The following is a 26,950-nucleotide window of genomic DNA, read 5'->3' as shown; positions in this document are numbered from 1 at the left end:
GTGGATGGTAGCTCCGTGAAGTGCGAACCCCTGCCCGCAAGGGCTGCTAAGTTCGCTGAAGCGTAGCACAGACTTCGCGTCTGCCTGGTGCGCGGCAAGTACGGAATTATCGCCACATCCTCCCGGCCTCCGCTCCCAACAGCACGGGCCGGGCACTCGCTTCAAGCCTACCCCCTAACCTTAAGCCTTCCCCGCCGCCCCCACGCAGCCCCCAGCCCCGCCCTGTGGGGAAGCCTCTTGAGAGTCTGGGCCCGCCCACGCGCCCAATGGACGACGCGGACCTGACCTTCGGGAGTGGGGCCAGCAGAAGGTGGACTAGGCGTCAGCCTTCCCGTCCCCTGACACCGCTCCAAACCAGCCCCACCCTCCCTGCCGCGGCTGTCAGGTCCTGGGCTGTGCCCGAAGCCTCCACACGGGTGTGGCCCGCGCCCTCGTGAAGGCCCGCCCCTCTCCCCCAGGTGCGCGGTGTAAACACACCAAAAAGCAAACACCAGGGCCGAGTGGGCGACGGAGACGGTCGCTGTTCAGTGACGCCCCCTGTCGGGAGCACGCCGGGCCGGACACAGCGAAGAGCGGCTGCGCCTCGGACCTCGCAGCACTCAGCCTCCTAAGTGGGAGGAATAACCTCACGCAAGTCATCAAACAAGAGGACTTCAGTGTTGCAACGAAGGAAGAGAAAGGGCCCCTGAGAAGGCGACATTCGCACTGCAGCGGCGCAGGGACCAGCCAGGCGGCTGAGGGCAAGGTCGTTCCCAGCAGCGGGAACCGCAAGGGCAAAAGGCTCGGAGGGGGGAACGAGCTCGAGTTCCAGGACGGCCGAAGCCAGCGCAAGTCGAGGAGGGACTGCGGGGCCGGCAGGGGTGTCCTCCACAGGGCGACGGCGGCAGGAGCTCGGGAACCGGGACTGCGAGCGGGTAAGGCTCGGCGATGGGCTGTAACCTCCGCGCCCGGAAGTGCGGCCGGGGAGCCGGCCGGGCCCATTGCCCAGAGGTGTTCGGCCCCTCTAGGGATCGCGGAGGTCTGGCTCTCGGTGGCTCCTGAGAGCTCCCTGCAGTCGGTCACCGAGAAAGGCTTCGGGCGGGCAGGCGGGCCAAATGACGTAAACATGCTTGCCCTCCAGGATTGGCGAACTCGGCTGTGGGGGCGGGAACTGAGGGGCAGGAGCCCCCAGGGATTGGCGGCTGCGCAGACGGGGCGGGGCAGCCCTTTGTCTGAAGGTGCTGCGGGATGCCGTTCCTTCGCGCGTGAGGCTGCGGCTCTGACGGTGAGTGGGGGGCGCGTGTCGTCGCCGGCCAGGACCCTCTCCCATCACGGACACCGGAGCCGGTGCGTCCTCCACACGAATCGTGGACTCTTCCCCGCGAGCACGCACTGCCTCCTGCGTTTACGCTGGTCCCCTCCCCTCACGGACGCGCGGCGGCCTCCTCCCCAGGGCCAAGGCCGCGCCCTCTCCCCCGTTCGGGGTTCCCACCCTTCCCCTCGCCCGGCCTTGGACCCCCTCAGGCCCTCCCGCACCCCCGTCCGCCTCGGACGGCCTCGGTCCCTTCCCCGCCCCTACCCCCTTGGGCCCCGTCAGACCGGCGTCCCTCCCACCTTGGATCTCCTCAGATCTCCGGCCTTCCTCCCCCTCGTGCCCTCCCGCGCGCTTTCTACCGGGCGCCGTGCCTAGGGCCAGGATGGCCGGAGTCCTAGGGGCGCAGTCCGGACCCCCGGGCCGCTCTTCTTGCCGCGCTCCTCGGGGTCTCGCGTCCCCTGGGATGGGCCCGGAAAGGGGTGGGGAGCTTCCCCAAAATATAAAAATGGAGGTTTTTTCTGTTTGATGCACATCCTGAGGAGCCCCATGAAGACCCCGGCGGCGCACCGGGAGCGCCACTTTACTTAGCTATAAAAAGTCTTCCCGCGTCAAGACGAAAACGAGCTGCTTTCGTTTCAGCAGTTGGTCGAGTGTGCTACTTGCCGGGTGTCTTATCCTCTCCCCATTTTGCTGTCGATGCTGTCTTTTCTGTTACTGTGTTAGAGCCCTATTTTAATGAATGAGCCCAACTCTTTGCAACACAGCAAATATTTTCCTTGTTGTTTATTGGCTTAATTTTAAAATTGAAAATAATATGCAATACTTCTTCTAATGCAGGCATGTCAGAAATATATAAAAGTCATCCCCCCCGACACTCTGCCAGTGTATGAAGAGGCAGGAGCTGTGAACAGTTTCAGAATTTTTGAATGCCGTTAGAGCTTTAGGCACGCACGCACACCCTTTTTTCTGTCATCAAAGGGAAGCTGGTGTCGTTTGACTAACACCAGGGGCGGCAGGGGGCGCTCCACTCGTCCTCCGCCGGGTGGGTACTCGCAGATTTTTCAGTTCGTAACTTGTCTTCTGGACATAGGTTTCTCTGTCCGGTGGTCTCTACGAAGTGGGTAAGGGTGGGAGATTGCCATTGACATTCCCGCCCTGGACGGGACTCTGGTCCTGTGGGCTTTGACAGGTCACTGCATTCCTGCCAGGTCGACGTTTTGCGTTTATTGGTGAGATTGAAATCCCTTCATTTGTGTTTTCGCCATTTGTATTTCTTTGTGATTTGCCAGCTCATATTTTTTTCCATGTATGTTGAAAACATGCTTCTCAATTTGTCTTTTGACTCTGATTATGGTGTTTGATTCTGGTTTGGGCTTTTTCAAAATAGAAAATTTAAAATTTTTAGGAGTCAAATATTTTGCCTTAAGGCATTTTGGGCTTTGTGCTGTGTTTTAAAGGGCTTTCCCCACTCCAAGATTATTTTTAAAATAAACTCTTGTTTTTCTGTGGTACTTGTAAAATGTTGGATACGTCTGGAATTTATTTTATTGTGGGGTGAGTTTGGAATACAGCTTTTGGAATTCCTTTTTTCCTCTAAATCATAGCCATTTCTAACACCATTGATCTTCCCATTGATTTGAAAAACCGCTTTTGTCATATACTAAATTGTTGCATGCCTTTAGGTCCATTTTTGGAGTTTGGTAGCTTTGATGTGCATATGATTTTGATTTATAAGCTGCAGATCTGTGGAGCTCTGCTTTTTGCTTTTGGTATTTTGCTTAGAACAGCCCTTCCCACATGAAATAATAAAAATATACCTGTATTTTTATTAAAGTTCTTTTTTATTGAATATAATAATTATACACATTTATGGGATACATGTGATATTTTGATACAAGGATAGCATACAATGTATAATGATCAAATCAGGGTAATTAGGATGTCTGTCACCTCAAACATCATTTTTTGTGTTGGAAACATTTCACATCTCTTCTTCTGGTTGTTTTGAAATATACAATAAATTATTAACTGTAGTCATCTTACCGTGGTATCAAACACTGGAACTTATTCATTATATCTGACTGTATGTTTGTAGTCATTAACCCACTTCTATTCATCTCATACCTCCCCCCAACCCCACCCTTCCCATCCTCTGGTAATCATCATTCTACCCTCTACCTCCATGGGACCAACTTTTTTAACTCACACATACGAGTGAAAACATGCAATATTTGTCTTTCTGTACCTGGCTTATTTCAATTAACATAATGACCTCCAGTTCCATCCCTGTTGCTGCAAATGACATAATTTCCTTATTTTTATAGTTGAATCATATTCCATTGTGTACATATACCACATTTTCTGTATCCATTTATTTGATGTACATTTCGGTTGATTCCATATCTTAGCTATTGTGAATAGTGCTGCAGTCAACATGTATGTTCAGATATCTTTTTGATATACTGACTTCCTTTCTTTTGGGTATATAACAAGCAGTGGAATTGCTGGGTCATATGGTGGATCTATTTTTAGTTTTTTTCATATGCTTGTTGGCCATACATATTGTCTTTTTTTGATAAATTACTCAGATCATTTACCTGTTTTTAAATCGGATTAGTTGTCTCTTTCTATTGAATTGTTTGACTCCCTTCTGCATTCTGGTTATTAATCCCTTATCGGATGGATAGCTTGTAAATATTTTCTTCCATTCTGTATGTTGTTTCTTCACTCTGCTGATTGTTTCCTTTCCTGTACAGAAGCTTTTTAGTTGATGTAATTCCATTTGTCTAGTTTGCTTTTGTTCCTGTGCTTTTGAGGTCTTACCCAAAAAATGTTTTCCCACATGAGTGTCCTCAAGTGTTTCCTTGATGTTTTACAGTTTTCTTTATAGGGACTCTGCATTTCTAAGGTTTAATCTTGTTTCTTGTTGCTATTTGTTGAATAGATTTTTTTCCATTCATATTTTCTGATTAGGTGTTACTGGTATATAAGAAAGCTATCAGTTTGGTTGTTTTTTTGTTTTGTTTTGTTTTGTTTTGTTTTGTTTGTTTGTTTATTTGCTTTTTTTCTTTTGAGATGGAGTCTCACTCTGTTGCCCAGGCTGGAGTGCAATGGCGCGATCTTGGCTCACTGCAAACTCCACCTCCCAGGTTCAAGCAATTCTCATGCCTCAGCCTTGGGAGGAGCTGGAATTACAGGCACGTGCCACCACACCCAGCTAATTTTTGTATTTTTAGAAGAGACGGGGTTTCACCATGTCACCCAGGCTGGTCTTGAACTCCTGACTGTTGGGATCAGGCCCCCCCAAAATCTGGCTATAAACTGGCCCCAAAACCGGCCATAAACAAAATCTCTGTAGCACCGTGAAATGTTCATGATGGCCATAATGCCCACGCTGGAAGGTTGTGGTTGTGGGTTTACCGGAATGAGGGCAAGGAACACCTGGCCGGCCCAGGGTGGAAAACCCCTTAAAGGCATTCTTAAGCCACAAACAATAGCATGAGCGATCTGTGCCTTAAGGACATGCTCCTGCTACAGTTAACTAGCCCAACCTATTCCTTTAATTCGGCCCATCCCTTCGTTTCCCATAAGGGATACTTTTAGTTAAATTAATATCTATAGAAACAATGCTAATGACTGGCTTGCTGTTAATAAATACGTGGGTAAATCTCTGTTCAGGGCTCTCAGCTCTGAAGGCTGTGAGACCCCTGATTTCCCACTTCACACCTCTATATTTCTGTGTGTGTGTCTTTAATTCCTCTAGCGCCGCTGGGTTAGGGTCTCCCCGACCGAGCTGGTCTCAGCACCTGACCTCAGGTGATCCACCCACCTTGGCCTCCCAAAGTGCTGGGATTACAGGCATGAGCCACTGTGCCCGACCAGAAAGCTATCAATTTGGATACATATTTCTGATCATTAATTCTGGAAAGGTTGCAGGTTAGGGTTAGTTTAGGTTAGTTAGGGTTAGTTTAGATTAGGTCAAGTTTAGCAGTGTTTCGCCTTGTGCTCACAAGTGGCTCAGAAGCTGCCTCTCTTGAAAGTGCTTTCACCCTAGCGGGTAGGGGCTCCTTGGTGATGAAGAGGGAGCAGTGCTTGTTAGCAGAAAGTCCAGGGAGTGAGGATGATGAGGAGCAGGAGAAGGCAGTGGCCCTGGAGGAGATCCTGGAAGCTCATCCCAGATCAGGAGACTCCAAATGTGCCTGTCCCAGTGTGTGACCATGTGCAGGGTCCTCTGGAATGACAGGCACACTGCTTTGTCACATCAAGACAGTCAGGAATTCCAAAAAGAGTGATAGGAATGTCTCACTGCGATGTGGCTTTTGATCACCTAAAGAAAACTGGAAAGCCAGTTGCTGCTAATAACGTTGATCTATTGTTTTTGTTTTGGATTATTCCTTAGGGAAATTTTCAAGATTGAAATTCCTGAGTTTGAAAAATTAGCTCCTTATGCTGCCACCTTTGTAACCAGTGGGTGGGAGGGATCATTGCTCAGCCAGTGCCCTGAGTGGGTGTTCTTTATATTGCCCATTTGTTAGCTGTTGGCATGGCCTCAAGAGGGGGCTCCTCAAACTCCACTTCCAGTATTCTGTGGCGGTGATCTCCAGCCTGTCCCAGCCCCTGGCCCTGGAGCCTGGCATCTATAGAGGACTCGTCATTAGCCTGTCTTAATTTTTTAAAACTGTCCACATCATCCTCCTTCCCTGCCTGAACTGTGTTCTCATGGAGCAAAGCTTGGAGTTGGACGTCAGAATCCCGTGAAGTGTGGATGGAGTGTGTTGTTAAAAGCCAGTTTCTGGCACCCCCGATAGCTCTTACATTTTCCTGTCTTGAGTATGCAAGGTTTAGGTTGAGGTCCATGGTGTTTGCCTGGCCTGGTATCCTGTTACAGGCTCGTTCCAGGAAACTGAAACCTTTATCTGCCATAGTGTAAGTAAGGAAAAAATTTAAACTAGTTAATACCACTTTTAAAATGTATTTTGTTCATATTTTTTTTTAATTTTTATTTATTTATTTATTTATTTTGAGACAGGGATTCATTCTGTTGCCCAGGGTGGAGTGTAGTGGTGCAGTTACAGCTTACTGCAGCCTTGACCTCCTGGGCTCAAGCAATCTTCCCATCTCAGCCTCCAGAGTACCTAGGTCTACAAACCAGCTAATTTTTTAAATTTTTTTATAGAGACGGGGTCTCACTATATTGTCCAGGGTGTTCTTGAACTCCTGAACTCAAGCAATTCTCCCACCTTGGCCTCCCAAAGTACTGGGATTATAGGTGTGAGTCACCATGCCCAGCCATTTTTGTTCATTTATTACCAGAATACAATCAGACTTTGTGATAGGATTTTTTTTTTTTTTTTTTTTTTGAGACAGAGTCTTGCTCTGTTATGCAGGCTGGAGTGCAGTGGCACAATCTTGGCTCACTGCAACCTCTGTCTCCCAGGTTCAAGCTATTTTCTTGCCTCAGCCTCCTGAGTAGCTGGGATTACAGGTGCCTGCCACCATGCCTGACTAACTTTTTGTATTTTTAGTAGAGACGGGGTTTCACTATGTTGGCCAGGCTGGTCTCGAACTCCTGACCTTTTGATCCGCCCGCCTCGGCCTCCCAAAGTGCTGGGATTACAGGTATGAGCCACTGCGCCTGGCCGATTTTTTTTTTAATTAGCAATATGTGATGGTCATCTTTCAATAGAGACCTGATACTGCATTTTGTGTGATGCTTTTCTAAGACTCACCCCAGGTGGCAGTCTTTCCCTTTCACTTCTCCTTGCCACACACTTGTTGACAGCCTGGTATTGTCCTTTGGAGTATTTCCTCTGTGTGTTAATCAAATAGATAATAACACCTTATCCAGCAGCATCCTCCTCTGAGCCAAGCCTGTTCTTAGCGCTCTCCTCTCACCAACCACATGATCTCCAGGCCTTCAGAGGAGTGTGTCATCTGGATTTATAGGTGGGGCCTCAATGCAGCTGGCCCAAGTGAGGCAGGTGAACCAGTCCCAGGTCCTTGTGACACACATACCCTTCATGGGCTCGGGGTCATAGTTTACAAAATGAGATTTTCCCCTGCATGCTGGCCCCATGCTGCATTTTCACTCACCCATCTGGTGACCTGACACAACATACATCTTTCTCTTTAGCAGGTGTGTAACTTGTATGTGGAAGGACCAACGTAGCATTTGCCTCAGCAACATCCTTGAATCTGCACCCTCACCCACATCCATTCTTATCAGGTACCCACTATCCAAGGGCCAGTCTGATTTGCCTAAATACTGCTAGGTCGCCTTCTTAAGAGTATGAGAAACTCCACTTTCCCATGCCTGCCAGTTTAAAGTGTTGACTCCGTACTTGGCTATTACAGATGGCATAAAGTGTGAGCTCATTCCTCTTCATTCATTTATTCAACAAACAGGCCGGGTGTGGTGTTCTCAGGCCTGTAATCTTGACACTTTCGGAGGCCAAGGAGGGAGGATCCCTTGAGCCTAGGAGTTCAAGACCAGTCTGGGCAACACAGCAAGACCTCGTCTCTACCAAAAAAAAAAAATTAAGAAATTATCCAGGCATGGTGGTGCAACCTGTATTCCTAGCTACTTGGGATGCTGAAGTGGGAGGATCACCTGAGCCCAGGAGTTGGAGGCTGCATTGAGCTGTGATTGAGCCACTGTACTCCAGCCTGGACTACAAAGTGAGACCCCGTCTCTAAGAAATTAATTAAAAGTTTAAAAAAGTACATTGCCTGGCAATTTGTAATCATTAGCCTAGAAGTAATTAAAAAAAAAAAAAAAAGGTCGACCACTGATTACTCTGTTGGGCCTGCTTCTTGGTCTGCTGGTGCAGGAGAAAGGGATAGGATGAGAGCTGGGTGAGGCCAGGGCTGCTGCGGTGGGTGGGGCAGAGGTCTCTAAGAGTTGGATGGGGAGCACAGGCCAAGGGATAAAGGGCTGCAGGGCTCTGAGGAAAATCACAAAGTTTGGGGCATGCCCATAGGAGCCAGTGGGGTCCTGGGAGGACCTTGGAGCAGAGGACAGTCACTGTGTTCTCACAGGAAGGTAGATGGAGGGGCTGGGCAGACAGACGGTGCTGGGAGTCTGTCTGCCCAGATGGGAGCTGCCGAACATCTAGGGGTGGTTGTCATGGGGCAGGGAGGGCGAGATGGGCAACATGGTCAGGTTCTGGATGTGCTTGGAAGGTGAATAGAAGTGTGGGAGTGAAGAAGGAAGGAGGCTGATGCACAGGCTCACAGACCAAGCTGGGGGTAGAAATGATGGTAGAGGGGGTGCTTGGTTTGGGATGTTAAATGTCTGAGATGCTATGAGACACCCATATTGAAAGGTTGAGTCAGAGGGAAGGGGGATCACGAGCTCAAGTGTACCAAAAGAGCTACTGGGCTCAACTGACTTTTCAGACTCACAGGACAACCATGCCTAGCAGCAGCTTCTCGGAAAAGCTGGCCAGCATCATCCAGCAGCCATCCAGGGAGTACTGAGGTGCATAAACACAAGATGCAGGTAGGAGGAGGAGTTAGCCTAGTCGAAAGCCTCGTGGTCATACAAGCCAGCACCTCCTGTGTCAAGAGAACTGGCTGCAAGACCTGCTAGGGAGGCCCTGAATGTACTTCCTGTGGTTGTTCATCATTGAGTCACAGCCCAGGTGTGATTGGTCCGTAGAGAGAATGACCATCCACCTCTGCCAGGTTTCCAGGGGACCAGAGCTGTGCATTCACCCAAGGTCAAATTCGCATGCAGGGCTAGGCGCAGTGACTCAAGCCTGTAATTCCAGCACTCTAGGAGGCCAAGAGGGGCATATCACTTGAGCTCAGGGGTTCGAGACCAGCCTGGGCAACATGGTGAAACCCCGTACCTACAAAAAGTACAAAAATTAGCCGGGCATGGAGGCAGGTGTCTGTAGTCCCAGCTACTCAGGAGGCTAAGGTAGGAGGATCGCTTGAGCCTGGGAGACGGAGGTTGCAGTGAGCCTAGATCATGCCACTGCACTCCAGCCTGGGTGACAGAGCGAGATTCTGTTTCAAAATAAAGAAATGGCAGATCTGTGCGCTGGTGGGTGACCCATGGAAAGGGTCAGGGTGTGGCAGGAGAGAAGGCACTTCTGCCCTTGAGGGTAGGCAGATGTCAGACAGGGGGACCAGGAGCACATGAGGCCACTGTTAATGCTCACACTTGGTCTTCATCTTAATCCAAAATTGGTTATTGTTGGGCTGGGCGTGGTGGCTCATGCCTGTAATCCCAGCACTTTGGGAGGCCAAGGCGGGTGGATCACCTGAGGTCGGGAGTTCGAGACCAGCCTGACCAAGATGGTGAAAACCCATCTCTACTAAAAATATTTAAAAAATTAGCCGAGCGTGCTGGTGGGTGCTTGTAATCCCAGCTACTCGGGAGGCTGAGGCAGGAGAATTGCTTGAACCTGGGAGGCAGGGGTTGCGGTGAGCCAAGATCACCCCATTGCATCCCAGCCTGGGTGACAGAGCAAGACTTCGTCTCAAAAAAAAAAAAAAATTGGTGGCTGGACACGGTGGCTCACGCCTGTAATCCCAGCACTTTGGGAGGCCAAGGCGGGCGGATCACCTGAGGTCGGGAGTTCAAGACCAGCCTGACCAACATGGAGAAACCCTGTCCCTACTAAAAATACAAAAAAAATTAGCTGGGCATGGTGGCGCATGCCTGTAATCCCAGCTACTTGGGAGGCTGAGACAGGAGAATCACTTGAACCCAGGAGGTGGAGGTTGCGGTGAGCCGAGATCTCGCCGTTGCATTCCAGCCTGGGCAACAAGAGTGAAACTCTGTCTCAAAAAAAAAAACAAACAAAAAAATTGGTTATTGATGTATCCCATCTGGGTACACACAAGTTACTAAAGGAACCACTGATTTCCTGCTGAACTAAAATGTAACATTTTTGTTATCTTCCAATTTCCCACATACCTGTCTGGCTTCATCTGTTCCTCTGTCAACAACTTGTTGGTTTAATTGCAGCGGCTTCCTACCCACCCTTGGCTCTGATTCCTGGCAAGGCAGTCCCCACCCTCTGTTCTTTCCAGTTAAATTCTTGGCTATTCTCTAGCATCCATTCTTCTTATGAATTCTCAAGTAGTTGTAGTCATTCCTTTAAAAGACTTCTGTTGGAATTCTAATTAGAGTTGCATTGCGCTAACACAGAAGTGTGCTCACACACACATTTGGAGGGAATGGGCATTTTTGGAGAACAGCAGCACGGGGGAGGGTTGAAAGTCAGTCTCTCTCCAACTGTGTTTCCCTGTCCTGTTCTTCAGAGGCAGGCAGTTAGTTTATTGTGTATCTTCCTGAAAGTTGTCTGTGCAAATATATACATGTATCTGATGTGTGTTTTTTTTGTTTTGTTTTGAGACAGAGTCTCAGCTGAGATGATCTCAGCTCACTGCAACCTCCACATCCTGGGTTCAAGTGATTCTCCTGCCTTAGCCTCCTGAGTAGTTGGGATTACAGGCACCCGCCACCACACCCAGCTGATTTTTGTTTTTGTTTTTGTTTTGAGATGGAGTTTTGCTCTTGGTTGCCCAGGCTGGAGTGCAATGGCATGATCTCGGCTCATCGCATCCTCCACCTCCTGAGTTCAAGCAATTCTCTTGCCTCAGCCTCCTGAGTAGCTGGGACTACAGGCGTGCACCACCACACCCGGCTAATTTTGTGTTTTTAGTAGAGACGGGGTTTCCCCATGTTGGTCATGGCTGGTCTCGAACTCCCAACCTCGGGTGATCCGCCTGCCTCGGCCTCCCAAAGTGCTGGGATTACAGGCATAAGCCACTGCACCCGGCCTGATTTTTGTATTTTTAGTAGAGACGGGGTTTCACCATGTTGGCCAGGCTGGTCTCAAACTCCTGACCTCCGGTGATGTGCCTGCCTCACCCTCCCAAAGTGCTGAGATTACAGGTATGAGCCACCGCGCCCACCTATATCTGATGTTTTATAGACACTGAGATTATGATGTCCCTTGACTTCTGCCCCCAGCCCTGACACCTATTTTGTCACTCTTAAAGCACCCTGTTTGTTGTGGTGCCCATCTGAGCCAAGCATGTGAGGGGATTGGTTGCTTTGTTATACCACGTTTTTCTGGAGTGATCTACCACCTTTGGTCACCTGGTTGGTTTCTGTATCCCTGTCACAGTATCTTCTTTTTGATGCTCCAGAAGACTGCGAACCCTATCCTGTACAGGACCAAATGTGTCAGGAAAGCTCTTGCCCCGCTCCCCCTTTTTCCCAGCTGTTTGGGTGTGTGTCAGATACCTTTGCTTACCTTGTCCTGTTACGTTCCAGCACCAGCCCCACTACCCCAAGCATCCCCTTCTCACTTGATGACAAGTCTTCCTTCAGCTGCTCAGACCAGATCCCTAGGCCACTGTTGACTCAGTTTGTCCAGAACTGACCACTTCCATGCCTCCCCTTCAAATACCTGGTTGAACCTGGTGCCACATTGGGGCACTAGGGCTGCCTAAGGGTGGGGTGAGGGGAGTCTTATTGTCACCCTGGTGGCCAAGGCTTTCTTAATTGGGAGGGTGTTTGGGGAAGCAGCTTGGCCTGATGCCTGTATCCCCCACATGACTTGCGGACAGTCTGGTACTTGTGTGAGGGCCTCAGGTATAGAACACACAGAGCCTTGGTGAGCTGGTATCCTTGTGTATGGCAGGACCATGGGCCGGGACCAGGGTGCAGCAAGTGCCTTGCACCTGGTGTTCAGAGAGCCCAGTACTAGCTGGGCAGGCCCAGGAACTGTGTGTTCAGGGCCTGGACAGGCTCCTGAACCATAGGGTCAGAGTTCATGGGGGAGGCAAGGCAGACCAAGGCTGCAACAGTAGCAGCTCCTTGCACCTGACCTCAGTGTGCCCCTCAGTGACTCTGAATGAGGCCCAGGGATCCCCTGAGGGCCCCCTAGGAAGTTACGGTCTCAAGGCCATGCCCCTCACTTGCCCCCTCCTCTTCCTCAGCCCCATAGGCTCCTTCAATTTCCGTGATCCTCGGAGTCCCCAGGAGACCAGGTGATGGCAGCAGCCAGACTCCTGCCAGTGCCGGCAGGACCCCAGGTAAGCTGTCCCCAGTGCTTATGCAGTGCCCCCAGCCCGAGCCCTGTGGTTCCTTCCGTGCCCCGTAGAGCTCCTAAGAGCAGCCAGAGCGTCACCACATGCCCTGAACTCCGCGGCCCCTTCCCATCACCCACCTCAGCTCACAGAGCCCCCCACTGCCAACTGCTCATGTCACATGTCACATGCACCCACTCCCCATCACAGACATCAGGATTTGGTTTTACCTGCAGCAGCCCCTGTCGTTCCAGGCCAAGCTGACCTTCGAGGATGTGGCTGTGCTCCTCTCCCAGGATGAATGGGACCGCCTGTGCCCTGCTCAGAGGGGTCTCTACAGAAATGTGATGATGGAAACCTATGGGAATGTAGTCTCATTGGGTAAGCCACCTTAGCAGGCCTCGTCTATGTATCTGCGTATTGGACTGGGGTGGGGGCTTCTCAGGGTACGGGGCCTGGGACAGGCTGGTCCTGGAGGTTTGCTCTCATCACCTCTCTGGGTGCTCAGCTCCAGCAGAAGATCAGTCCTGTCCATTTTCATGTCCCCACAAGTGGCTTGGGCAGGGGGAGGGGGCTCTGTAAATGTTGTGTAAACAAAGACTTCCCTCCCCACGAGCAGGACTTCCAGGATCCAAGCCTGACATAATCTCCCAGCTGGAGCGAGGGGAAGATCCCTGGGTCCTGGACAGGAAGGGGGCTAAGAAGAGCCAGGGCCTGTGGAGTGACTACTCAGGTGAGTGAGGAGAGCTGGCCCCTCCCTCACTGAGGGCTAAACAGGTCCTGAGCAAAGCTGTGGACCTAGTTCATACTGTGCCGCTCACTGGAGTGGCTTCCACCTGGAGTAAAACCTTATCTGGCCTTATCTGGCAAAGGAGTCTATAGACTGGGGGTTGCTGAATCAGGTGGCAGCCCATGGCTGGAAGTGAGCATAGCAGTGAATTTCAACAAGCTGATGTGCAGAGCCATGTAGAGGAAGTTAGGGCATGGCTGCAGTGATTCTGTCCCTGACCAGAGGGACTGGTTAGCCAGATTTGGTCCTAATAGGACATTCAGGTTTTGAGAGTTACCTGATGATTTAGAAAATAACAAAGCATCCTAAATGTGGAAAGGAAGTGTCTCAACCTGACACTTAAGGTGAAGTGCTGAAAGCACACTGTTTCATCTCAGAACAAGACAAAGAAGCCCGCCATCCCCATGTCCATATAATGTTGTACTGGGTATCCCATGTACAAAATAAGGCAAAACCGGCCAGGCGTGGTGGCTCAAGCCTGTAATACCAGCACTTTGGGAGACTGAGGCGGGTGGATCACGAGGTCAGGAGATCAAGACCATCCTGGCTAACACGGTGAAACCCTGTCTCTACTAAAAATACAAAAAATTAGCCGGGCATGGTGGCATGCACCTGTAGTCCCAGCTACTCGGGAGGCTGAGGCCTGTAGTCCCAGCTACTCCCAGATTCATGGCGTGAACCCGGGAGGCAGAGGTTGCAGTGAGCTGAGATCGCTCCACTGCACTCCAGCCTGGGGGACAGAGCATGAGACTCTGTCTCAAAAAAATAAAAATAAAAATAAGGCAAAACCAAAGCTATAAGAATTAGAAAGAAAAAAGCATTGTTTGCAGTTTATGTGATTGTCAACCTGGAAAATGATTGATTAAAATTCACAAGGGAAATTACCAGTTTTGCTGGATACAATTTTTTTTTTTTTTTTTTTTTTTTTGAGACAGTCTTGCTCTGTCGCCCAGGCTGGAATGCAGTGGCATGAGTCTCGGGTCACTGCAAGCTCCGCCGTCTGGGTTCAAGCAATTCTTACGCCTCAGCTTCTCGAATAGCTGGGATTACAGGTCCATGCCCCTATACCCAGCTAATTTTTGTATTTTTAGTAGAGACAGGATTTCACCATGTTGGCCAGGCTAGTCTCGAACTCCTGACCTGAAGTGATCCACCTGCCTCAGCCTCCCAAAGTGCTGGTATTACAGGCATGAGCCACTGCACCTGGCCAGAAATGTTTTATTTATATTTGTCAGCAACCAGCAAAGGTGTAATATTTTAAAAGATAACATTTATAATAGCATCAGGAATATAAAGCATCCAAGAATTAATCTAACAAAAGATGTACAAGACCTTTAGATGGAGAAAATTATAAAAAGAAAGATGGTGCATAGATCCAACCCTGAAGTTCATGTTTGCGGTTGCTTAAGGCAAAGAACCTCTGACTTCAGTAAGGTGACGTCTGAGTCTTAGGAAAACCTCAGTCAGCCTGTCCTGCCATAATGTGCCCCACTTGGGGAGAGTAGGGACAGTTTGGGCAACACCTCCATTGGCTGATCAGCTTCAGCATTTCAGATGTGGTGGTTTTCCCCTTGAAAGCTCCTCCTTATTTCTAAAGTAGCTTTATGTGGATAGGGCACCAGGTATTACAGTCTACCTCTTACTGGCCTGCAAAATCAGATATCCTCAGAGGAACAAGGTACATGCCAGCCTTAGAGGAATTTAATTTTCCAGTGACTATACAAGAAGACACATCATCATGTCTTGGAAATCTTGCATAGAACTTCTGCTTACTGACTGCAGCTGTAGGAGACAAGAAAACACAGGAGGGCATTTTGCTGCCACTGCCAAACCAGTCCTGGGCTCCCTTGTGTCCAGCTATGTACTCGCCTGATGGAGAGCTTAAACTGCCTTTGAGCGCCCTTTGATTTGACACCACAGAGACTGTGAAATTCTCTGGGAGCATGGCTGGTTGGAGATGAGAAGTTTTTTCATGGAAGCACCTGGTCCCCTCACCTCTAACACAGGCCACAGAGGACGATGGGACTGAGTTTTAGATTACTGATGTGCATAGAAACAGAAGCCACCTGCCACAACCTGGATCACTGCCACTAGCATCAGAGCAAGCGAGGAGTAGATATGCCTTTGTCTTGTCCTGGCAGTTCCTCAGGATGGATAAGTGTGTGCACCTGCCCAGCCCTGACCCTGCTGTTTGTAACTCAGTAAATTACATGTTGTAATAGCAACGAAAGGATTTTCCACTCTTTTTTTTTTTTTTTTTTTTTTTTTTTTGAGAGACGGAGTTTCACTCTGTCCCCCAGGCTGGAGTGCAGTAGTGTGATCTCGGCTCACTGCAACTTCTTGTCTCCGGGGTTCAAGCGATTCTCCTGCCTCAGCTTCCCTAGTAGTGGGGACTACAGGCATGCACCACCATGTCCAGCTAATTTTTGTATTTTTTAGTAGAGACGGGGTTTCACTATATGTTGGCCAGGCTGGTCTCAAACTTCTGACCTCAAGTGATCCACTCACCTTGGCCTCCCAAAGTGCTGGGATTACAGACGTGAGCCACCATGCCCGGCCAGGATTTTCCACTCTTGAAGGGAGTATTTTGTTGTCACTTCAACTCGCTGTTTTTTTTCCAGACAACCTCAAATATGACCACACTACAGCCTGTACACAACAAGACAGTTTATCTTGTCCATGGGGTAAGTGTATGCCTGATCTTTTTAATTCAGTACAATCTCTGAAGGTGTTAACACTAATGTTTTACAAGAATGTAGAGGCGACTCGGTGCTATGAAGCGTGTTAAACAACTCACACAATTGCTACAAAACACCAGGGAGGGGCTTTTTGTGTTTTTAATTTTTAAAACATTTTTCCTTTTCTTGTGAGCCATAGTAGGCCTAGAGAGATTACTGGGTTTTTATAATTAAACATTTATTTCGGTGAAATCATTTTGTTTCCTTTTATTTGTTCCGTCATGCTTAAAACATACTTCCCTACTTTATACTTAACAACCAAAACCATTATTCTAAAAGCAAGTGACTCTTGGCTGAAGTCCAGCTTCTGCACAGTATGGATGCAAGGTGCAGGCAAGTTTGGCCTTCACAGCAACTTGATTCTGTCTCACAAGCAGTCATATGATGCTTTCGTGCCATGGATGATTGAGCGAGTAGTCTCTTATGCAGTTAGTTTAGTGTGTGTGTGTGTTTTCTTTTTTTCAGGCTGGAGTGCAGTGTAGAGACAGAGTCTTGCTGTGTTGCCCAAGCTGGTCTCAAACTCCTGGGCTCAAGCAATCCTCCTGCCTCAGCCTCCCAACATGCTGGGATTACCGGCATGAGCCACTGTGCCTGGCCTGTGTTTTTATTATTAAAGACATCTTGTCTATCTTGTTACCCTGGCATCAGGTCAGAAGCCGCCCATTCAGGAAACTTTTTTTTTTTTTTTTTAGACAGGCTCTCACTCTGTTGCCCAGGCTGGAGTGCAGTGGCATAATCACGGCTCACCAGTCTCAACCTCCTGGACTCAAGCAATCCTCCCACAACAGCTTCCCGAGAGTAGCTATAACCACAGGTGTACACCACCATGCCCAGCTAATTTTTGTAGAGACGGGGTTTCACCATGTTGCGCAAGCTGGTCTCAAACTCCTGGCCTCAAGTGATCCTCCCACCTTGCCCTCCCGAAGTGCTGGGATTACAGACATGAGCCACCACACCGGGTGAAACTTCAGACAATAGAAGTAATACTTTTCAGTGTAAATGAGTAACTATTTCTTTAGCCTATAGGCTTTTATTCCATGAAGATGAGGCTTATACATTAAAAAAAGAAAGAACTAAAACTTCTATCAGTTTAAAAAACACATAGCCAGCTTAGGCAAGATACTGAGACCCCACACTACAAAATAAAATTAAAAATTAGCCAGACATGATGGTGCATTCCTGTAATCCCAGCCACATGGAGGCTGAGACAGGAGGATTCCTTGAGCCCAGGAGGTTGAGGTTGCAGTAAGCCATGATCACACCACTGCACTCCAGCCTGGGTGATAGAGTGAGACCCTGTCTCAAAAAAAAACCCACATAGAGTGACTTTCTAAAATGAGATATGTTAAAAATTGTATTAAACTGGGCCGGGGGTGGTGGCTCATGCCTGTAATCTCAGCACTTTGGGAGGCCGAGGCAGATGGACCACCTGAGGTCAGGAGTTTGAAACCAAGCTGGCCAACATGGTGAAACCCCATCTCTACTAAAAATACAAAAAATTATCTGGGCATGGTGGCACATGCCTGTAATCCCAGCTACTTGGGAGGCTGAGGCAGGAGAATCGCTTGAACCTGGGAGGCAGAGGTTGCGGTGAGCTGAGATCGTGCCATTGCACTCCAGCCTGGGCAACAAGAACGAAACTCTGTCTCAAAAAAATTGTATTAAACTGAAGACAGTGAATTTAAATTTTTTTATTAAAAAAACTGTTAAATTCTCACTGTTTCAATTTGTCAATACACTTAATAAATTCCTCTGAATAGAATAAAAAGACGCAGAATTACCCAAAAAGAAAAGTAGGCACAAATTTCTGCATAGATTAGGAAAACCAAAGGGCCAATAAATAAGAAAACTGCTCAGCCTCATTATTCATCAGTAAAGTGGAAATCAAAACCACTGTGACATGATGTTACACCTTCAGAATGGAAAAAATGGAAAGATCTGACAATATAACATGTGGGTGAGGATGCAGGGCAGCTAATAGGGATGTAAATTCACATAGCCACTTTGGAAAAGTTTGGCATTATCCAATGAAATTGAAAACATGATCACATTCTGAGAGAATGGAGGTAAAAAAAATGAAAAAAAAAATCGAAAACATGAATTCCTATGTTCACCACTTCCCACTCTTGCATATGTATACAGCAAGGACATTTGTGTGTAAGCACCAGGAAACATAGGAGAATCTTCACAGAAGCATGCTTCATGATTTAAAAAAACATTTGAAAAGAATTCAGGACCGGGCGCCGTGGCTCCTGCCTGTAATCCCAGCACTTTGGGAGGCCGAGGTGGGTAGATCACGAAGTCAGGAGTTTGAGGCCATCCTGGCCAACATGGTGAAACCCTGTCTCTACTGAAGATACAAAAAAATTAGCCAGCCATGGTGGCATGTGCCTGTAATCCCAGCCACTGGGGAGGCTGAGGCAGGAGAATCACTTCAACCCGGGAGGCAGAGGTTGCAGTGAGCCGAGCTCGTCCCATTGCACTCCAGCCTGGGCGACAGGGTAAGACTCCGTCTCTAAAAAAAGAATTATGTTCATAAACAGAATAGACATAAATAAACTATGGTATTTTAACTTAATGGAATATACTGCAGTGAAAATGATTAACTGCTGTACAACAACATGATGGATCTCAAAAACATAATGCTGACGGGAAAACGAGTTCCAGAAGACTGTGCTCCATGAAACTATAGAAAGCTCAGAAACACGCATAACTAAGTAAAATAAAATATAATAATGTTTAGAGCCAGGCACAATGGCTCATGCCTGTACTCCCAGCACTTTGGGAGGCAAAGGCGGGAGGATCATATGAGCCCCAAGCAGCTTGAGGCTGCAGTGGGCTATGATAGTAGCCACTGTACTCCAGCTTGGGTGACAGAGACTCCATCTAAAAAAAAAATCACTGTTGTCCTCAGCACCTCTTACCTCCCACCCACTCACACACAATCAGCCTGCAGAGCGCTCGACCTGCTCCCAGAAGAGTCTCCACCCCTGCCTTTCCCGCCATCTATGCTTCTGCTCCTGAAGGCCTCATCTGTGGCCTAAACTTGGCAGCAGATTCCCATCATGCCCCTCTGCACCTTCAGTCTTGTCCTTCCCTCCCCTCCTCCTGCCACTGCATTCTCCACATGAAATTATCTTCCACATGGCCAGGTCCGATGGTTCACGCCTGTAATCCCAGCACTTTGGGAGGCCGAGGTGGGTGAATCACTTGAAGTCAAGAGTTCAAGACCAGTCTGGCCGACACGATAAAACCCCATCTCTACTAAAAATACAAAAATTAGCCAGGCATGATGGTGTGCGTCTGTAATCCCAGTTACTCAGGAGGCTGAGACACGAGAATCGCTTGACCCCAGGAGGTGGGGGTTGCAGTGAACCGAGATTGTGCCACTGCACTCCAGCCTGGATAACAGAGCAAGGCTCCTTCTCAAAAAAAAAAAAAAAGAAATTATTTTCCACAAAGAGGTGGCAGCACCACCACCCCTACCTCATGTACAAGTCTGTTGGCCTCCAGATGGCACACCCCGACTTGCTCACAATAGCTCACACCTCTCCCTGCCTGCCCAAGTGCTGCTGTCTGCCCCACAAGGCACCCACATTATGTGGGCCTGTATTTCAGCTCTGTCCACATGAGGACCCCTGGGAGGGCAGGACTCAGGCACCACTGGGCTGTTTCCCTGCTGTTCTGTGGACTCCACACAGGGGTGTGACCTCAAACTGGAGTTTACACCTTTCTCTTAAAGCTTGCCTTGGCACCTTCCTGTCTGGAAACATTATCTTCTGATATCTAGTTGTTTGACACAGTTATGGTGGTTCTGTTCTTCTGTAGCTCACACCAACGTGTGCATTGAGGGATTTTGCACCTTCATCAGCAAGGCCAGTTTCAGGGTTGCACTAGCTCTTCAGTTTTGAGTAGTGTTAACATTTTCATTTTGGATTTGTTCTTTCAGAATGTGAAACCAAGGGAGAGAGTCAAAATACAGACTTGAGTCCGAAGCCATTAATTTCAGAGCAAACAGTGATTCTGGGGAAAACACCCTTGGGGAGGATTGATCAAGAAAATAATGAAACAAAGCAAAGCTTCTGTCTGAGTCCAAACTCTGTTGACCACCGTGAAGTTCAGGTCTTAAGCCAAAGCATGCCACTCACTCCGCACCAGGCAGTGCCTAGTGGAGAGAGGCCCTACATGTGTGTTGAGTGTGGGAAGTGCTTTGGCCGGAGTTCCCACCTCCTTCAGCATCAGCGTATCCACACTGGAGAGAAGCCCTATGTGTGCAGTGTATGTGGGAAGGCCTTCAGCCAGAGCTCAGTCCTTAGTAAACACAGGAGAATTCACACAGGTGAGAAGCCCTATGAGTGTAATGAGTGTGGAAAAGCCTTTAGAGTGAGCTCAGATCTTGCTCAGCATCACAAGATACATACAGGAGAGAAGCCTCACGAATGTCTTGAGTGTCGGAAAGCCTTCACTCAACTCTCACATCTCATTCAGCACCAGCGGATCCACACGGGAGAAAGGCCATATGTGTGTCCGTTGTGTGGGAAAGCCTTCAACCATAGCACTGTTCTGCGGAGCCACCAGAGGGTACACACTGGGGAGAAGCCTCACAGGTGCAATGAGTGTGGGAAAACCTTCAGTGTGAAGAGGACACTGCTGCAGCACCAGAGGATCCACACCGGGGAGAAGCCCTACACGTGCAGCGAGTGTGGGAAGGCCTTCAGCGACCGCTCAGTCCTCATTCAGCACCACAACGTGCACACCGGGGAGAAGCCCTATGAGTGCAGTGAGTGTGGGAAGACCTTCAGCCACCGCTCCACACTGATGAATCACGAGCGGATCCACACCGAGGAAAAGCCCTATGCATGCTACGAATGTGGGAAGGCCTTCGTTCAGCACTCACACCTGATCCAGCACCAGAGAGTCCACACTGGGGAGAAGCCCTATGTGTGTGGTGAATGTGGGCACGCCTTCAGTGCACGCCGGTCTCTGATCCAGCATGAGAGAATCCACACAGGTGAAAAGCCCTTCCAGTGCACAGAATGTGGCAAAGCCTTCAGCCTGAAAGCAACTCTGATTGTGCACCTGAGGACCCACACGGGCGAGAAGCCATATGAGTGCAATAGCTGCGGGAAGGCCTTCAGCCAGTACTCAGTGCTCATCCAGCACCAGCGGATCCACACAGGCGAGAAGCCCTATGAGTGCGGGGAGTGTGGGCGTGCCTTCAACCAGCATGGCCACCTAATCCAGCACCAGAAAGTGCACAGAAAGTTGTGACCCATGGCTGACACAAGAATCCATTCTCACAGAAACTGCATGTGGAACCACAAGCAGCCTTCAGCCCAAGAGAAGTCTCTGTTAACTCTATAGGAAGCTTTTCTTTGGCGATTCAGTGTCACAAAATAACTCCAGAAAGAAGCACTTAGCGTGCTGTTCCTGTGGAAAAACTTCAGAGACTACCTGTTTTATTTTCCTCAACATCTTGAAGTTATGTTGGAGAGTAATCATACAATTGTAGAGAATTTTGGTAAAAAACAGCCATAATTCTTTAACATTAGTTTATTTGAACTAAGGGAATTTAAGGCATAAGAACCATTATCCCAATAAAATCTTACATTCCAAATAAAGTTCTTTTTCTAAGAACATTACATGCCCTTCCTAAATATCAATTAACCATACTAATTATTGCACTTAAAATTTGAAAGTCGGACTATTTTCAGTATTCTCTTAAAAGACTAAAGTATTGTATGGATAAAGTGATATAAAAAGATATTTTCATCAAGCATCATGTAAAATGGTTGGAAATCCTAAGTGTGTGGATTTCCATCCTAAGTGTGTGGAGTCCTGTTTTGTATGAAACAAGGAAAAAGCTTATATATTAGTGAGAAATTACATAAATTTAAAAAACTTTTTGTATGTGTGTGTGGAGATAGTCTTGCTCTGTTGCCCAAGCTGCAGTGCAGTGGCATGATCTTGGCTCACTGCAGTCTCCGCCCCCACCCCAGGTTCAAGCTTTTCTTGTGCCTCAGTCTCCCAAGTAACTAGGATTATAGATATGCGCCACCACACCTGGCTAATTTTTGTATTTTTAGTAGAGACGGAGTTTCACCGTGTTGGCCAGGCTGGTCTCGAACTCCTGGCCTCAAGTGATCCTCCCACCTTTGCTTCCGAAAGTGTTGGGATTACAGGCGTGAGGCACCATGCCTGGCCTAGAAAACCCTTTATCTGGAGCTTTTAACTTTATTCAAGATCAGAAAGGTTATGCTAACTTTTTAGTAAAAATTCAACTCAAAAATGGGTATTTTCCTCAAAACTTGCCCTTATGACCTGCAGATCCTGTGCCCCAGAAACCGTGAGATGTCTCAATTCCCATGCAGGCAAAGGAGGGGAGCTTCACACTCAGCAGACCTCATAGCTGTTACACCAAGTGGGTACCTCTTTACATCTTATGGTATTTCCCCCAAAACAATGCTGAAAATACTGTTCTTTGGTAGATATATTTAAAACATACATTTCTCAAATTCAGATAGCTCTTTTTTACTATCTCTAGTATTTCTATTCCTATATTTGAAGGGGTTTTTTTTTTCATTTTTTTACTCCTGGTTCAAGAGTCCAGTATCCATTGCCATATTACTATGATGAAGATGAATCTAGTTTATTCATAATTAAAAATTTGTATTCAGAATTATTTGTTCTGTTTTAAGCATACTTTTTTTTTTTTTTTTGAGACAAAGTCTTGCTCTTGTTCCCCAGGCTGAAGTGCAATGGCACAATCTCAGCTCACTGCAATCTCCACCTCCCAGGTTCAAGCAATTCTCCTGCCTCTGCCTCCCAAGTAGCTGGAATTACAGGCACCTGCTACCACGCCCGACTAATTTTCGTATTTTTAGTAGAGATGAGGTTTCACCATGTTGGCCAGGCTGGTCTCAAACTCCTGACCTCAGGTGATCCGCCCGCCTCGGCCTCCCAAAGTGCTGGGATTACAGGCGTGTGCCACCGCACCCGGCCAAGGATACAGTTCTTGAAACCGAATCAGAACCATTTCTAGTAGCAGCCAGCTGCAAACGAAACAAATGTATGAGGTTCAAGCCACTTGAAATTCTCAACATGTTAAGTGCCTGAGATAGAGAAGGGCTGTCTTCACCCCAGGCCCCCGCCCCCAACATCTGTCAGTTTGGTGGGGAGGAAATAGTCACCAGGATATTGATCCTTTTTGTTTGTTTTAAAGACGGTCTTGCTCTGTCACCAGGTTGGAGTGCAGTGGTGCCATCATGGCTCACCGCTGCCTCAAACTCCTGGGCTGAAGCAGTCCTCCCACCTCACCTTCCCAAAAGGTTAGGATTACAGGCATGAGCTGCTGTGCCCATCCAGGCATTGATCCTTAAGTCCACAGCAAAACACCACGATGTAGACAAAAGCTTGTTCCCCCTTCTATGTACAGACACTGACAACAGTGAATTATTAACTCCAGAGAGGAACTGGTAACTGATTGGTTAACTTGAGAAAGGAGCTGACATCACTGGTGTTTTACTTCAGAGCAACTGAAACCACTGAAGTGAAATTCCAGAGGAACTAATATTACTGAGGTGTTACTTCAGAGGGACTGAGATCACTGAAGTGAAACCTCAGATAGCTCAGATAACCAAGGTGTTAACCTTAGAGGTGTTGCCATTCTGTGAGGTGTTGTTTCAGATAGATAAAATAACTAAGGTGTTAGTTCAGAGAAGACAAGAGCTTAACTGTTTCTTTGGAGAAGAGCTGAGATCACTGAGGCGTCACTTCAGAAAGAAAGTGAGACAATTTTTGTTACTTCAGAGGATCTGAGTACACTGAGGTGTTTCATCAGAGAGGAGGTGAGATCACTGGGTGTTACTTCTGAAAGGAATTGACATCACTAGTGGGTACTGCAGAGTAGCTCTGACCACTGAGGTTTACTTCAGAGGAGCTGAAATAACGGAAATGGGATCACTAAGGTATTACTTTAGAGATTAGATCATTGAGGTAATTCTTCAGAGAAGCTGAGATCACAGAGGTGTTTCTTCAGAGAAGTTGAAATCACTAATGTGAAACTCTAGAAGAATGGAGGTCACTGAGTGCTATTTCATAAAGGAAGTGAAATCACTATATTGTACCATCGGAAAGATGAGAATGCTGAGATGTTACTTAGGAGCTGAGATCACTGAGGTTCTGCTTCAGAGAAAAGCTGATACCAATGAGATGTTACTTAAGGGAGGAGCTGAGGTTACTGAGGTATTATTCAGGACCAAGATGGTGTCCCTCAGGTGTTAGAAGCTGAGATCACAGAGATGTTACTTAAGAGAGGCTGAGACTGCTGATGTGATTCTTCAGAAAGGAAATGAGATCACTAAGCTGTTAACTTTAGAAAGGAGATGAAATAACTGAGTTGTTCACTGGAGTTGAGATCACACAGGTGTTAACTTCAGAGGTGGCTGAAATCACTAAGGTGATTCTTCAGAGAAAGGTTGAGATCACTAGGGGTGATGCTTTAGAAAGAGGTTACTTTAGGGAAAAGCTATGATCACTGAGAAGTTACTTCAGAATGGAGCTGAGATCACTGAGGTAACAGTCCAAAGAGGAACTGAGATTACTGAGGTGTTACTTCAGAGCCAAGAGATCACCCAGGTACCTAGATGAGATCACTGAGATGAAAGTCCAGAAACCTGAGGTCACCTCAATATTAATTGAGAGAAAATGAGAACACTGTGGTGCTATCTTAAATCTTCTATGAAAGGAAGCTGCCAACCTGTGTTAGCTGAGTCCACAGCTGGCATGTGACTCAGTGGCAGCTGCTCAGTGCCCACTACTATTCAGGCCCCAATTTCTAATCATTAAAGACAAAGTCATATTCCAATTAAGATGAGAATAATTAAATTCAATATACAGGAACATTTGTTTAGAAAGACTGTGTATCACAGGACAACGTAAGTTACACAGTACAAGTTATTCTGGATTCCAATAACCTAGGGTTTTCAGGGAAATCCTTCCAAAAAGTATAGTTTTTTTCCTGCATTCTTAAAATGAGCTTAATATCATTCTGCCTGTTCTTGCTATGTCAGGCTGCCATTGATCCACTGGTGAGAATGCAGGCTCAGGTGTCCACGGAGCCAGGAAGTGGGCTTCAATGCCCTTCTTTCTGAGGAGGATTCCCAGGCTACATTTTCTTGCCACTCACCTCCTCCTCTCCAAGGAGAAAGAGGTGGCACATGACCTACTGGAACATGTGGGCTATCTACCTTTTTGGGATATAACATCAAAGGCCAGGGCCCTGAATTTTCATGCTGATAACAGTCTTCTCAACCATTATCTTCTGCCTGATTTGTCAGCAGCATTCCACCTTTATTTTGGATTTGTTTTATTCAGAAGTCTGTATATTTTAGGTATTTAAATACTTCTCTTTGGCTGGGTGCAATGGCTCACACCTGTAATCCCAGCACTTTGGGAGGCTGAAGTGGGTGGATCGCTTGAGCCCAGGACTTTGAGACCAGCATGGCGAAAACCCGTCTCTACAAAAAAAAAATTAGCTGGGTGTTGTGGCTTGCGCCTGTAGTCCCAGATACGTGGGAGGCTAAGGTGGGAGGATTGATTGGGAGTTCAAGACTAGTGTGCTGTGATCATACTATCTAGCCTGGACAACAGAGAGAGACCTTGTCACAAAAAATACGTATATATTTCTTTTAAAATTGTTTCTTCTAACAGCTATTAAGAATTTGAAACTTGGTTCTCTTCAAATTTTCTATTATTTTGGAAAACATTTTAGTCTGCCTGGAATTTCTGTGTATAATCTGACGCTTTCCAATAAAAAAGTAATGACTGGAACAAGTATTTGCAGTGAAGAAAGATCAGTAACTTTGGCATAAAGATCTCCTACAAATCAGTGACCATAGGACATGAACAGACCACTCCAAATAAGAGAATATACAACCATGGAAGCTTGGAAAAGGCTCAAGTGTACCAATCCCAAAACAAATAACAACATGCTACCCACTAATCAGTTAGTAAAGATTATCCTGTAATGACCAGGTATGAGGAGATGTGTGCTTTCATGCATTGCTGATGATGTTATCAATTAATACAATCCTTTTTCCCTGGAATTTCTCTGGGCCATAAAGTGGCTTCTGCTGTGGCTATCCCATGTCCGGTGTGAGGAGACAGTGGTATGACTCATCCCTTTGTGTCCGGAATTGGTGGGTTCTTGGTCTCACTGACGTCAAGAATGAAGCTGCGGACCCTCGTGGTGAGTGTTACAGTTCTTAAAGGCAGTGTGTCTGGAGTTTGTTCGTTCTGATGTTCGGACGTGTTCAGAGTTTCTTCCTTCTGGTGGGTTCGTGGTCTCACTGGCTCAGGAGTGAAGCTGCAGACCTTCGCGGTCAGTGTTACAGCTCTTAAGGTGGTGCGTCTGGAGTTGTTCATTCCTCCCGGTGGGTTCATGGTCTCGATGGCTTCAGGAGTGAAGCTGCAGACCTTCGCGGTGAGTGTTACAGCTCGTAAAAGCAGTGTGGACCCAAAGAGTGAGCAGTAGCTAGATTTATTGCAAAGAGCAAAAGAACAAAGCTTCCACAGTGTGGAAGGTGACCCGAGCGGGTTGCCACTGCTGGCTCGGGCAGCCTGCTTTTATTCTCTTATCTGGCCCCACCCACATCCTGCTTGATTGGTCCATTTTACAGAGAGCCAATTGGTCTGTTTTACAGAGAGCTGATTGGTCCATTTTGACAGGGTGCTGATTGGTGCATTTACAATCCCTGAGCTAGACACAAAAGTTCTCCATGTCCCCACTGGATTAGCTAGATACAGAGTGCTGATTGGTGCATTTACAAACCTTGAGCTAGATACAGAGTGCTGATTTGTGTATTTACAATCCTTTAGCTAGACATAAAGGTTCTCCAAGTCCCCAACAGAGTAACTAGATACAGAGTGCCGATTGGCGCATTCACAAACCCTGAGCTAGACACAGGGTGCTGACAGGTGTGTTTACAAACCTTGAGCTAGATACAGAGTGCTGATTGGTGTATTTACAATCCCTTAGCTAGACATAAAGATTCTCCAAGTCCCCACCAGATT

At 47.5% G+C, this 26,950-nt stretch overlaps 2 protein-coding genes across 15 annotated transcripts, besides 7 other annotated features; one reads left to right on the top strand and one right to left on the bottom strand.

Annotated features, from left to right (window-relative positions):
* Window positions 53-656: an enhancer, noted in NCBI's record as "H3K27ac-H3K4me1 hESC enhancer chr8:146127392-146127995 (GRCh37/hg19 assembly coordinates)". NCBI's record gives its function as "activates a minimal SCP1, AML or CMV promoter by ChIP-STARR-seq in primed H9 embryonic stem cells {active_cell/tissue: H9 hESC(primed)}" and the evidence as "EXISTENCE:reporter gene assay evidence [ECO:0000049][PMID:30033119]".
* Window positions 277-356: a silencer, noted in NCBI's record as "silent region_19716". NCBI's record gives its function as "represses an Ori minimal core promoter by ATAC-STARR-seq in GM12878 lymphoblastoid cells {active_cell/tissue: GM12878}" and the evidence as "EXISTENCE:reporter gene assay evidence [ECO:0000049][PMID:35858748]".
* Window positions 382-1,039, bottom strand: LOC124902042 (uncharacterized). Its single transcript, XM_047422534.1, has one exon. The coding sequence runs from the start codon at window positions 979-981 to the stop codon at window positions 382-384; it is 600 nt and encodes a 199-aa protein (XP_047278490.1). The 5' UTR covers window positions 982-1,039.
* Window positions 486-25,708, top strand: ZNF250 (zinc finger protein 250). Of its 14 annotated transcripts, none has more exons than NM_001363102.2 (7): window positions 1,210-1,264; window positions 7,431-7,520; window positions 12,260-12,355; window positions 12,604-12,730; window positions 12,969-13,082; window positions 15,761-15,823; window positions 19,827-25,708. In NM_001363102.2, exons 3-7 carry the CDS (start codon window positions 12,314-12,316, stop codon window positions 21,146-21,148), a joined length of 1,668 nt encoding a protein of 555 aa, NP_001350031.1. In that variant the 5' UTR covers window positions 1,210-1,264; window positions 7,431-7,520; window positions 12,260-12,313; the 3' UTR covers window positions 21,149-25,708. The 14 variants fall into 14 exon arrangements, with proteins under 14 accessions (NP_001350029.1, NP_001350028.1, NP_001350034.1 ...); XM_047422064.1 differs by having other exon boundaries at window positions 12,589-12,730; NM_001363100.2 differs by lacking the exons at window positions 1,210-1,264; window positions 7,431-7,520 and adding an exon at window positions 486-914.
* Window positions 657-1,259: an enhancer, noted in NCBI's record as "H3K27ac hESC enhancer chr8:146126789-146127391 (GRCh37/hg19 assembly coordinates)". NCBI's record gives its function as "activates a minimal SCP1, AML or CMV promoter by ChIP-STARR-seq in naive and primed H9 embryonic stem cells {active_cell/tissue: H9 hESC(naive and primed)}" and the evidence as "EXISTENCE:reporter gene assay evidence [ECO:0000049][PMID:30033119]".
* Window positions 1,260-1,864: an enhancer, noted in NCBI's record as "H3K27ac hESC enhancer chr8:146126184-146126788 (GRCh37/hg19 assembly coordinates)". NCBI's record gives its function as "activates a minimal SCP1, AML or CMV promoter by ChIP-STARR-seq in naive H9 embryonic stem cells {active_cell/tissue: H9 hESC(naive)}" and the evidence as "EXISTENCE:reporter gene assay evidence [ECO:0000049][PMID:30033119]".
* Window positions 1,417-1,526: a silencer, noted in NCBI's record as "silent region_19715". NCBI's record gives its function as "represses an Ori minimal core promoter by ATAC-STARR-seq in GM12878 lymphoblastoid cells {active_cell/tissue: GM12878}" and the evidence as "EXISTENCE:reporter gene assay evidence [ECO:0000049][PMID:35858748]".
* Window positions 23,087-23,276: an enhancer, noted in NCBI's record as "active region_28109". NCBI's record gives its function as "activates an Ori minimal core promoter by ATAC-STARR-seq in GM12878 lymphoblastoid cells {active_cell/tissue: GM12878}" and the evidence as "EXISTENCE:reporter gene assay evidence [ECO:0000049][PMID:35858748]".
* Window positions 23,477-23,626: an enhancer, noted in NCBI's record as "active region_28108". NCBI's record gives its function as "activates an Ori minimal core promoter by ATAC-STARR-seq in GM12878 lymphoblastoid cells {active_cell/tissue: GM12878}" and the evidence as "EXISTENCE:reporter gene assay evidence [ECO:0000049][PMID:35858748]".
* Window positions 25,709-26,950: the final 1,242 nt, after the last annotated feature.

The sequence above is a fragment of the Homo sapiens genome, chromosome 8 (assembly GCF_000001405.40).
Source record: "Homo sapiens chromosome 8, GRCh38.p14 Primary Assembly".
Lineage (NCBI taxonomy): Eukaryota > Metazoa > Chordata > Mammalia > Primates > Hominidae > Homo > Homo sapiens.
Note: the sequence above shows the minus strand (reverse complement) of the source record. Positions and strands in the feature narration are given on the sequence as shown.

Coding starts and splice junctions, on each gene's coding strand:
- LOC124902042 (XM_047422534.1), bottom strand. CDS start 981: ATGGGCCCGGCCGGCTCCCCGGCCGCACTTCCGGGCGCGGAGGTTACA.
- ZNF250 (NM_001363099.2), top strand. CDS start 12,314: ATGGCAGCAGCCAGACTCCTGCCAGTGCCGGCAGGACCCCAG. Junction 12,356..12,588: donor CAGTGCCGGCAGGACCCCAG/GTAAGCTGTCCC, acceptor TACCTGCAGCAG/CCCCTGTCGTTCCAGGCCAA. Junction 12,731..12,968: donor TGGGAATGTAGTCTCATTGG/GTAAGCCACCTT, acceptor CCCCACGAGCAG/GACTTCCAGGATCCAAGCCT.